This window comes from Homo sapiens, chromosome 3 (assembly GCF_000001405.40).
Source record: "Homo sapiens chromosome 3, GRCh38.p14 Primary Assembly".
NCBI classification, from domain to species: domain Eukaryota; kingdom Metazoa; phylum Chordata; class Mammalia; order Primates; family Hominidae; genus Homo; species Homo sapiens.
The window spans coordinates 158,112,934-158,125,636 of NC_000003.12; the positions used below are offsets into that span (position 1 = coordinate 158,112,934).

At 36.1% G+C, this 12,703-nt stretch overlaps 1 protein-coding gene across 6 annotated transcripts in view; it reads left to right on the forward strand.

Annotated features, from left to right (window-relative positions):
* The window catches only part of RSRC1 (arginine and serine rich coiled-coil 1), a 435,642-nt gene that overhangs the window by 2,845 nt on the left and 420,094 nt on the right, over positions 1–12,703 (forward strand). For all 6 annotated transcript variants that reach the window (NM_001271838.2, NM_016625.4, NM_001271834.2 and 3 more), the window contains exons 2-3: positions 9,170–9,365; positions 10,933–11,058. In NM_001271838.2, the coding sequence (NP_001258767.1) occupies positions 9,172–9,365; positions 10,933–11,058 (320 nt within the window). In that variant the 5' untranslated portion in view covers positions 9,170–9,171. The remainder of the gene's footprint in view (positions 1–9,169; positions 9,366–10,932; positions 11,059–12,703) is intronic.

Sequence of the window (12,703 nt, forward strand, 5' to 3'; positions counted from 1 at the left end):
TGGCTTCCAGCTCCATCCATGTCCGTGCAAATGATGATCTCATTCTTTTTTTGTGGCTCCATAATATTCTGTGATGTATATGTACCACATTTTCTTTATTCAGTCTATCATTGATGGGCATTTAGTTTGATTTTGTGTCTTTGCTATTGTGAATAATGCTGCAGTGAACATAAACGTGCATGTGTCTTTATAACAGAATGATTTCTATTCCTTTGGATATATACCCAGTAATGGGATTGCTGGGTCAAATGGTATTTCTGGTTCTAGGTCTTTGGGGAATCACCACACTGCTGATTCCTCAAAGTATCACCCGTTCTGGACAATGCCTGTGACATCATCTTCCACAATGGTTGAACTAATTTACATTCTCACCAACAGTTTATTAATAAAAGTGTTCCTGTCTCTCCACAGCCTTGCCAGCATCTGTTGTTTTTTGACTTTTTTTTTTTTTTTGAGACGGGAGTCTCACTCTGTCACCAGGCTGGAGTGCAGTGGTGCGATCTCGGCTTACTGCAACCTCTGACTCCCTGGTTCAAGCAACTCTCCTGCCTCAGCCTCCTGAGTAGCTGGGATTACAGGCACGCTTCACCACGCCCAGCTAATTTTTGTATTTTTAATAGAAACAGGGTTTCACCATGCTGGCCAGGATGGTCTCCATCTCCTGACCTCGTGATCCACCCCCCTCAGCCTCCCAAAGTACTAGGATTACAGGTGTGAGCCACTGTGCCAGGCCATTTCTTGACTTCTTAATAATTGCATTCTGACTGGCATGAGATGATATCTCATTGTAGTTTTGATTTGCATTTCTCTAATGATCAGTGATGTTGAGTTTTTTCTCATATGTTTGTTGGCTGCATAAATGACTTCTTTTGAGAAGTGTCTGTTCATGTTCTTTGCCCATTTTTTAATGGGATTCCTTTTTTTTTCTTGCAAATTTGTTTAACTTCCTTATAGACTCTGGATATTAGACCTTTGTCAGTTGTATAGGTTGCAAAAATTTTCCTCTATAGATTGTCTGTTCGTTCTGATGATAATTTCTTTTGCTGTGCAGAAACTCTTTAGTTTAATTAGATCCCATTTGTAATTTTTGTTTTTGTTGCAATTGCTTTTGACGTTTTTGCCATGAAATCTTTGCCCGTGCCTTTGTCCTGTATGGTATTGCCTAGATTTTCTTCTAAGGTTTTTATAGTTTTGGGTTTTACATTTAAGTCTTTAATCTATCTTGAGTTAATTTTTTGTGTAAGATATAAGGAAGGGGTCCACTTTCAATTTTCTACATATGGCTAGCCAGTTCTCCCAGTACCATTTATTAAATAGGGAGTCCTTTCCTCATTGCTTGTTTTTGTCAGGTTTGTCAAAGAACAGATGGTTGTAGATGTGCGGTCTTATTTCTGAGTTGTCTATTCTGTTCCATTGGTCTATGTGTCTGTCTTTATACTAGTACCATGCTGTTTTGGCTACTGTAGCCTGGTAGTATAGTTTGAAGTCAGGTAGCATGATGCCTCCAGCTTTGTTCTTTTTGCTAAGGATTGTCTTGGCTATATGGGCTCTTTTTTGGTTCCATATGAATTTTGAAATAGTTTTTTTTTCTGATTCTGTGAAGAATGTTAATGGTAGTTTGATGGGAATAGCATTGAATCTTTAGGTCACTTTGGGTGGTATTGCCATTTTCACGATATTGATTCTTCCTATCTGTGAGCATGGAACGTTTTTCCACTTGTTTGTGTCCTCTCTGATTTCCTTGAGCAGTGGTTTGTAGTTCTCCTTGAAGAGGTCCTTCACTTCCCTTGTTAGCTGTATTCCTAGGTATTTTATTCTTTTTATAGCAGTTGTAAATGGGAGTTCATTCATGATTTGGCTCTCTGCTTGTCTGTTGTTAGTGTATAGGAATGCTAGTGATTTTTGCACATTGATTTTGTATCCTGAAACATTACTGAAGTTGCTTGTCAGCTTAATAAGCTTTTGAGCTGAGATGATTAGGTTTTCTAGATATAGGATTATGTCATCTGCAAAGACGATTTGACTTCCTGTCTTCCTATTCGAATACCCTTTGTTTTTTTTCTCTTGCCTGATTGCTGTGGCCAGAGTTTTCAATACTATGTTGAATAGGAGTGGTGAGAGAGGACATCCTTGTCTTGTGCTGGTTTTCAAGAGGAATTCTTCCAGCTTTTTCTCATTCCGTATGATATTGGCTGTGGGTTTGTTGTAAATGGCTCTTGTTATTTTGAGGTATGTTCCAAGGAAGGACTTTTGTTATCTTTCATTAACCTGTGTTAAATGTAATCAACCAGCCTTCTATTATGGATAAATTATGTTGTTTGTAATTAGAACAAATAAAAAATTTATACTCGCCTTCTCCTGTTCTCTCTTTTTGGTCACCCCCAAGACAGATAGATCTGTGTCCCTTCCTTTTTTTCTGCTTGTTTGTGCCTTACTCAGAGATGTAGTATAAAGGACAGAAATAGAGAATGGGAATGACTGTAGGTATCTTAGAGCAGAGGTTCTCAAACATTTTAGTCTTAGGGTCTCTTTACACTCTGAAACATTGTTGAGGACTCCAATAACATTTATTTGGATTATATCTATGAATATTTACCTTATTAATTAAAACGAAATTTTGAAATCTTCATGAATTCATTTAATAACAATAAACCCAAAATATGGTAACATAAATAGTATCTTTGATATGAAAAATAACTGTGTTTTCCAAAACAAACTTAGTGAGAAAAGTGGCCTATTTTCCTTTTTTGCAAATCTCTAATGTCTGGTTTAATAGAAGATGGCTGGATTCTCATATCTGCTTCTTCATTCAATCCACTGAGATAAATTGTTTTGATTGAAGTTTGTGAAGCAAATCTGGCTTTACTCAGATAAGTGTTTTAGTAACCCTTTTCAGGTAATTATGTCTTTCGTATTACACCAAAAATTGATTGTGTTAATTTCTTGAAGTTCTGTTTTAATATGGTTTTTGAAACCATATGGATAACCTTTGGTACTCCATTATGTTAAAATCTATTGGTCTGACTTACACTCTGAGTGGATCTTTACCCACGCATGGTTTTGTGACATTTTGCATTGGCCATTTGGAAAATATTGGCTCACTGAGTTAGGCATATCTTTCTAATGTTAACACCCTTCATTATATATCAAAAATTCATGTTTGTTAATGTCACCGATGATCTCGGAAGTTTTTAAGTATTCAGAAGCTATCATTCTCATGGTGGCAATACAAATTATCTAAAATTCAAATTTTTGCTTGCAAGCTTGAATTTTATCATCAGCAATGAATACTCTTTTCCTTGAAATGGAAGGATCCCTTCATTTTCAAGAAAAGGTTTTCCAGATACTCAAGTCTGCATAATTATAGTGAGTTTTTAAAATAAAATAATGTTTCATAATAAAAGCAGCTAATTCAAGTTGCAATTCAGTTACACAAATGCTTGTTCTTGAAATAACCAGCGTTCTTCAATATATGGCAGAAGTTATGTGTATCTCTCATTTCATAAGAATATTAAAAAGATGTGTATGTACTCGAGTGGAAATTTAGTAAAATTTATGATTTTTACTGCTTTATTGAGGACATTCTTAATTGAAATTGCTTTTTTTTTTAAACTGTGACTGTATGGCAGTGAGGGATACAGTGACTACTAAGTATAATTTGGTGCCTCTGCCTTGATTTGTGCTAAGGTGCCAGCAGTTTTGTCCACTATTACTTTTGCACCATCAGTGCAAAAGTCAGCACAATGAAAAAGGTAAATAATGTTTTAGTGTTACAGTGAATATAGTTTTGACTTCTTGAGTCCCCTGAAAAGTGTTGTAGAGATCCCCAAGGGTCTACAGGCCTCATTTTGAAAATCGCTGGTACTAGAATGTAAGCTTCTATAGGGAAAGGATTTTTTTTTTCTTGTTTATTGATGTATTGCTTATATGCTATCAGTCTGGGATGTCTTTCGTATCTTCAGTATAAGATTACTTATATTTTGAATCTGGGTTGTCTGTTGTGATACTCTTCTTTTCATGGAGCACACTGTCGAGTAACTTCATGAAAAGGGGAGAGTGTGGGGTATAATTTTGAGACCTTACATGTCTGAAAATGTCTTTATTCTAATCTCGTAGCAGAACAGTGATTTGGCTGGATAGAGATTCTAGGTTGAGATTCATTTTCTCAGCATTTTAAAGGCTAGTCTCCGTTGTTTTCTGTGTTGTGAAAACCCATATGCCTTTTATTGTGCTACCCATATTTTTTTATCTTTAGAAATTTCTAGGCTCTTCTGTATATTCCTGGTGTCTAAAGTTTTTATGAGATATACTGGGTATGTCTTTTTAGAAAAATCATTGTCCCAGGGACTTAGGGCAATTCATCTTTCAATTCTGGAACTTTGAAACAAGGACTTATTCTGTCACCCAGACTAGAGTGCAGTAGGGTGATTGCAGCTCACTGCAGCCTGGACCTTCTGGGCTCAGGTGATCCTGCTGCCTCAGCCCCCTCAAGTAGCTGGGACTACAGGTGTGCACCACCATGCTCAGCTGATTTTTTGTAGAGACAGGGGTTTCACCATGTTGCCCAGGCTGGTCTCAAACTCCCTGGGTTCAAGCAATCCACCCACTTCGGCCTGCCAAAGTGCTGATATTACAAATGTGAGCCACCATGCCTGGCCTGGAAATTTAATTTTTGGGTAATTTTTTTTTGTCCCTTTTCTCCTGTTTTTAAAGACAGGATCTCACCCTATCACCCAGGCTGGGGGTGCAGTGGTGGGATTATACCTCACTAGAGCTTTGAACTCCTGGGGTCAAGGTGTCCTCCCATTTCAGCGTTCAGAGTAACTGGGACTACCGGCTTATGCCATTATGCTGAGCTTTTCTATTCTTTTTTTTTTATAGAATGCGTATCTGGTGCATTTTGGACTTCCAGATTGATCCTCTTCTGTTTGTAAAATGTCTGTCTCTTTTTCTTTCTTTCTTTCTTTCTTTCTTTCTTTTTTTGAGTCCTTTAACCTCTTTTCCAACCTTATTGTTTTTGTTGTCTGTTTTTTTGAGGCTGGGTCTCGCTCTGTCTCCCAGGCTGGAATGCAGTGGCACAATGTTGGCTCACTGTAGCCTCGCCCACTTGGGCTCCGGTGATCCTCCTGCCTCAGTCTCCTGAGTAGCTGGTACTACAAGTATGCATCACCACGTCCAGCTAATTTTTGTATTTTTTGTGGAGACCAGTTTTCACCATGTTGGCGGGGCTGGTCTCAAACTCCTGGACTCAAGTGATCTGTTTGCCTTGGCTGCCCAAAGTGCTGGGATTACAGGCGTGAGCCACCGTGCCTGGCCTTAATTTTAAATTTTTTTAGAGACAACATCTTGCTCTGTCACTCAGGCGGGAGTGCAGCGGTGCAGTCATATCTTTTGGACTCAAGGGATCCTCCCACCTCAGCTTCCTGAATAGCTAGTACTAGAGGCATGTGCCACCATGCCTAGCTAAGTACCTGGCCTTCTGTGTGTGTGTGTGTGTGTGTGTGTGTGTGTGTGTGTGTGTGTGTGTGTGCGCGTGCGCGTGGTTTTTTTAAATTGTCCTTTGTTAAAATTTTAAGCTATCTGTCCTATTCTCCAAATGTTCCTCCTAGTCTTGTTTGCTGGATCATCCTGTCATATGCATCTGAGGATATTAGCTGTTATTTTTGTTCTTGAAGTTTTCTTCTGTATGTTCTGGTTTACTATCATTTGCTTTTTTTCTTTCTGTTTTAGTTTCTGTCTTTTATGGTGAAGGCTTTCATCATGTTTGCTTATATTTTGTTGTATATTCAGCAAAAAGTTAACAGAAAAAATGTTTACAGAAAAATGTTATAAATACAGTTGTAACCTGTATTTAAGGTTTGGACTTGTCAACTAGTAGGCTTCATTATAGGGTGATTGGGTGGGGGCCTGCCCTTTTTGGGGGGAACCCTCAAATGCTTATATATCTTTTCTTAGGTGTTGTTCAGTTTTTGCAGATATTCAAGAATCCTCTTGAGGATAGCACACAGAGGGCTATGACTTTTCTATTTGATTATAGACTTTAACTTAACTTAATCTCTTTAACTTTTAGTTTGGCATCTCTGTCTTTTTTTACTGTGTCCTTGGACCTGGTGCTTCTTTGATTCATTTTTCTCCCCAAAATAAACGTTCTCTCCTCTGAGGATTGGGGAAGAGTATCACCTGGCTGGGTAGAATGGAGGGACTCAGGGACACTATTACATAAATTCAATCAATTTTTTTTTTGTTTTTAGCCTCATGGCCTCATTGTGCCTGCTCTGGTATCTGGTGTCTTAAATTCCTGATCCTTTCTGATTTTTGCTATGTGAATTTGCTTTTCTCTTGTTGGAATTCTCTACAGTTGCCTGATAATAAGTTTTCTTAGCTCTAAATTCTCCATGTGTTTTTCACTTGCCAAAAGTTTGTTGACATATCTCATGTTCCTGTTGTTTTCTAGTCTCTATCCTTTCAAATTTATACTTTTTAATTTCTTTAATCTTATTTTGGTATTTTTTAAAACAAGATAGCAAGATAGTAAAAGCTCATCTTAATTTAAATGGTTATTTGTTTGTGAGGAACATTCTTAAATGATTAAAGGTAAAAACAAGAAAGGAATTAAAAGCCAAGAAATGAAATTATTATCATTCAATTGTGTACATATTTCTTAACATGGATATAAGTATATGTGTGTGTGTATAATATACACACATACATATGTGGGTATCTATTTGATATATATAATGGATATATGTATATATTTTATGTATAAATGGATATGGACACATGTGAATTTATATGTATGTACAGATATACCTTATATACATCTGAATTATGTTTGTATTTAAATGTATGTTTGTATTTACATATATATACATGTTGTATATATTTATAATTTCATAGTCTTTTTTTTTTTTTTTTGAGATAGAGTCTCGCTCTGTCACCCAGGCTGGAGTGCAATGGCACTATCTCGGCTCACTGCAACCTCCGCCTCCCAGGTTCAAGCGATTCTCCTGTCTCAGACTACTGAGTAGCTGAGACTACAGGCGCATGCCACCACGCCCAGCTACTTTTTGTGTTTTTAGTAGAGATGGGGTTTCACCATGTTGATCAGGCTGGTCTCGAACTCCTGACCTCAGGATCCGCCCGCCTCGGCCTCCCAAAGTGCTGGGATTACAGGCGTGAGCCACTGCACCTGGCCACTTTCATAGTCATTTTAAAGCTGGAAAGTGTCGTGGTAATCTTTTACCTATTGTAGTTTCATTTTTTAAATGAGGAAACTGGCTTAGATATGTAAGTGATTTACTGAAATCTTCAAAACCAAGTCTTCCCAGTGTTTTGTTAAACTAAAATCTTAGACATGTGAGCAACTTGGACGTTCAGAGCTACATTTAAAATCCTTAATTCTGGCTCTAGGTAAATAGCTTAAAGTTTTGATTTGAGTCCTAAGAGATTTTTTCAACTGGTATTGTATTGGAATCAGGGAGGGGCTGGCTCACCTGATGCTTCTGAAAGCAAAGCAGTAATTTAACATATTATAAGTTGGCACAAAAGTAATTGTGGTTTTTGCCATTACTTTTAATGGAATGTATTAATTATTAAATATATAAATAATATAGAATTAATATATTAATATTAATATATTAAATATACAGTTAATATTAAGTATTATATAGTTAATATTTAATATATAATATATTTAATGTTAAACATACTATACATAATATATATTTAATATATTAAATAGATAATATATATTTTATATATATATAAATATATTCCATTAAAAGTCATGGTAAAAACTGCAATTACTTTTGCACCAACATAATACTTTGTTTATAGTGACGGTATTTAACTTATTTTGAATAAATATTAAAGATGATGTGAGCTTTTATTTATCCTAAGTGATTACAACGAATGGATCTTGTTTTTATATGACTTTGAAAGATAACTAATAACTATTTTAATAAAAAATAGTATTGCATATGAGAATCTAAATTAAAGTAAGACAACTAAGCTTCTTGTCAGCAAAGTTAATTCCTAAATATGAAAGCCTTAGGTTCTATTTGTTTTTTCTGTTGTATACTAAATGTCCGTGTTACCATAACTATATAGAAATAGTTTGAAAAACTATATTTTATATTATGAAAATTATATTGCATCATTTAAATACTAATTTTCATATGTACATATTTTCTTAAATTATCTCAATGGATACCACTATAATAATGCTGTGATGAATATTTTCATGAATATATCCTTTAGAAAAATTTTTTCAGATGTATTTGTAGAAGTAGGATTTCTCTGTCAAAAAAGCATCAACATTTTTAGATTATTATTACTCAATTGTGTACATATTTCTTAATGTGGATATAAATATATATGTTTGTGTGTAATATACACATACAAATGTGGATGTCTGTTATAGATATAATATCTATTATATCTGCTTAATTTATTGTTTTATTGCTTTCTAAAAAGATTATTCTACCACCTTATAGAGATACTAGCAGTGTGTGAAGAGCTGACTGATTTCTCAATAACCTCATCAACTTTAGTACTTTAGTTAATATTGTCTCCCCTGAGTTTCACAAGTGAAATGATGATTATAGTTCATTGTTTCAGTTTGTACTTTGTTGATGACTAATGAGGTTTTAGCTATTTAAAGATGTAGAATTTTCTGTTAGAAAAAAAATTCAACTCTAAGATAGTAAAATATATTTTGTCATTAGGGAATGTGAGAATAAAGGAATAGTTGGTTGATTACTAAAGAAAATGTCATATAATTAATGAGAAATATAACTTAAAATATCAGATAATTGATATAAAGAACTGCTCTCAGTCTTGTCAAGAAGCCAGGCACATAAACAATTTTACTTTGAATAAGACTTTTAAAAATTTTACAAAGTTTTATAAAAAGTAGTACATTGAGGCCAGAAATGGTGGCTCATGCCTGTAGTCCCAGCACTTTGGAAGGCTTGGGGGAAGGATCGCTGGAGCCCAGGACTTCCAGGTTGCAGTGAGCAATGATTGTACCACTACACTCCAGCCTGGGATACAGAGGGAGACCCCATCTCTAAAATAAATAAATAAATGAAATAAAAAATTAATATATTGCATTTCATCCATTGTGCCACCATGTTAGAAATAATATTCTTCAAATTTATGCTTATAGAAATGGGACGTCGGTCATCAGATACTGAAGAAGAAAGCAGAAGCAAGAGAAAAAAGAAACACCGTAGACGGTCCTCCTCGAGCAGTTCTTCAGATAGTAGAACATACAGCCGAAAGAAAGGAGGAAGGAAATCAAGATCAAAGTCAAGATCTTGGTCCAGAGATCTTCAGCCTCGTTCACATTCTTATGATAGAAGGTGATTTTTGTAATTTTTATTTATATAGTAATGAGGATAACATTCTTTAAAATTCATGTTTTTGTATTTTTAATTTTGCTAGATAAAACATTTTTCTTTTACTAGCTATATATTTATGAAAGTCCCAACCCAGAGTTTTTTTGTTCCACCAGGTCCAGTCCGTGGGTCTAGTGTCCTCAACCTTTGTCTGTTCTTAGTAGGCAAATAGATAGAAAGTGGTGTAGTTTCCTTTTTTAATTTAATTTAATTTTTTTTCTAGTGCATTTATTTATTTATTTTTCTAATGAATTATTTTTTATTTTATTATACTTTAAGTTCTAGTACACAACATGCAGGTTTGTTACATATGTATACATGTGCCATGTTGGTGTGCTGCATCTGTTAACTCGTCATTTACATTAGGTGTATCTCCTAATGCTATCCCTCCCCTAGCCCCCCACCCCATGACAGGCCCCAGTGTGTGATGTTCCCCTTCCTGTGTCCAAGAGTTCTCATTGTTCAATTCCCACCTATGAATGAGAACATGCGGTGTTTGGTTTTTTGTCCTTGCGATAGTTTGCTGAGAATGATGGTTTCCAGCTTCATCTATGTGCCTACAAAGGATGTGAACTCATCCTTTTTTATGGCTGCGTAGTATTCCATGGTGTATATGTGCCACATTTTCTTAATCCAGTCTGTCATTGATGGACATTTGAGTTGGTTCCAAGCCTTTGCTATTGTGAACAGTGCTGCAACGGAGTTTTGCTCTTGTTGTCCAGGCTGGAGTACAATGGCGTGATCTCAGCTCACTGCAGCCTCTGCCTCCCAGGTTCAAGCAGTTCTTCTCAGCCTTCCAAGTAGCCGGGATTCCAGGCATGCACCACTATGCCCAGCTAGTTTTGTATTTTTAGTAGAGACAGGGTTTCACCATGTTGGTCAGGCTGGTCTTGAACTCCTGACCTCAGGTGATCTGCCCTCCTCAGCCTCCCAAAATGTTGGGATTACAGGCGTGAGCCACCGTGCCTGGCCTTAATTTTAAATTTTTTTAGAGACAAGATCTTGCTCTGTCACTCAGGCGGGAGTGCAGCGGTGCAGTCATATCTTTTGGACTCAAGGGATCCTCCCACCTCAGCTTCCTGAATAGCTAGTACTAGAGGCATGTGCCACCATGCCTAGCTAAGTTTTTTTATTTTTATTTTTTGTGGAGACTTGGCCTTGCTGTGTTGCCCAAGCTGGTATCGAATTCTTGGCCTCAAGCGATCCTCCTGCCTCGGCCTCCCAACATGTTGGGATTACAGGCATGAGCTACTGAGCCTGGCCTTGGTTTAGTTTTCATACCATATAATCTGATGATATTTGGAAAGATTCTAAGACCCTTAATACCTTAATTAGTACTGATCCAATCACTAAGTTATGAACCAGTCATATGACTGTTCAAGAGAAATAACATTTTAATTTATCTCTGTTTGCTTCCAGGAAACAGTGAGACAGTAAAAATCAGATGATTCTTTAGAATCTAGAAGGTTTTTCCTTAATGCTCATAATAAAAATTTTTATAGCAGTGATCTTTGATTATATTTTATTTCAGACGCAGGCATCGATCAAGCAGTAGCTCTTCTTATGGCTCCAGAAGGAAACGAAGTCGAAGTCGTTCAAGGGGTCGAGGGAAATCCTATAGAGTTCAGAGGTCTAGGTCAAAAAGCAGAACAAGAAGGTATGCCTTATTAAGTATTTATTGCTTTGTAACAAATTATTCCCAAATTCAGCGATGTAAAGCAACAATCATTTATTTTCTTATAATTATATAATTTTGATTGAGCTTAGCTGGCACTTATTTTTTTCTCACCTGGGGTCATTCATGCAGTTAGTCATCTGATAGCTTGATTGGAACTGGATGGTCTAATGTGGCCTCACTCATATATCTTGCATTTGGTTCTGGCTATTGGCCGGGGTGTACGTGGCTTCTCATTGTCCAGTAGGCTAGATTGGGTTTCTTTTTTTCAGCCCGGTGGTGGTAGCACGTGCGTTCCCCAGACATGAGTTTACTAGTATTTTGTTAAGGATTTTTGCGTCAGTATTCATCAGGGACTTATGGCTTGCAGTTTTCTTGTAATATATTTGTCTGGCATTGGTATCAGAGTAATGCTGGCCTGATAAAATGAGTTTGGAAGTACTCCCTCCTTTTCAGTTTTTTTGGAAGATTTTGAAAAGGATTGACATTAATTTCTTTTTAAATGTTTGGTGGAATTCTGCAGTGAAGCTATCTGCTCCTGGGCTTTTCTTTGTTAGAAGGTTTTTGCTTACTGATTCAATCTCCTTGTTAGTTATACGTCTGTTAAGATTTTCTCTTCCTTCATGATTCAGTCTTGGTAGGTGGTATGTTTCTAGGAATTTATCCACTTTTTCTAGGTTATCCAGTTTATTAGCATTCTTAGTAGTCTTTTATAATCCTTTCAATGTTTGTGGCATCAACTGTAATGTCTGCTGTTTCATTTCTGATTTTAGTTATTACGCTTCTGGTATTTTTTCTTTTTCTTTCTTTCTTTTTTTTTTTTTTTGGAGGTGAGGTGTTGCTCTGTCACCTAGGCTTGGGTGTATTGGTGCAGTCAGCTCACTGCAGCCTCAAACTCCTGGGCTCAATGATCTTCTCACCTCAGTCTCCTAAGTGGCTAGAAATACAAGCATACACCACCAGGCCTGGCTGACTTTTTAAAATATGTTTTGTAGAAATCAGTCTTACCATATTGCCCAGGCTAGTCTCCAACTCCTGGTGTCAACTGGTCCTCCCACCTTATCCTTCCAAAGTGCTGGCATTATAGGTATGATCTACCTTGCCCGGCCTCATTTTTTCTTAATCTAACTAAGTACTTGTTAATTTTGTTGTTGTTTTTCAAAAAACTCTTAGTTTTGTTGATTTTTTTCTAAAGTCTTTCTGTTCTCTATTTTATTTATTTTTTTCTCTAATCATTTTTATTTTCTTTCTTTGGATAATTTTTGGTTTAATTTGTTCTTTATTTAGTTCCTTGAAGTATTAAGTATGATATGAGACTTTTCTTTTTTTCTTAAATGTAGGTGTTCATGCTAAAACTTTCCTTTCAGTATTGCTTTTGCTGTTTCTCTTAAGTTTTACTATGTGTGTTTGTGTTTTCATTTGTTTAAAGGTATTTTCTAATTTCTCTTATGATTTCTTCTTTGGTGTATTTGGTTGTTCAAGAGTGTGTAGTTTAATTTCTACATATTTGTGGATTTTCTGATTTTTCTACTGCTATTGATGTCTAGTTTCATTTCTTTGTGTTTCGAAAAGATACTTGCTATGATTTCGGTCTTATTAAATTTGTTAAGACTTGTTTTGTGGCCTA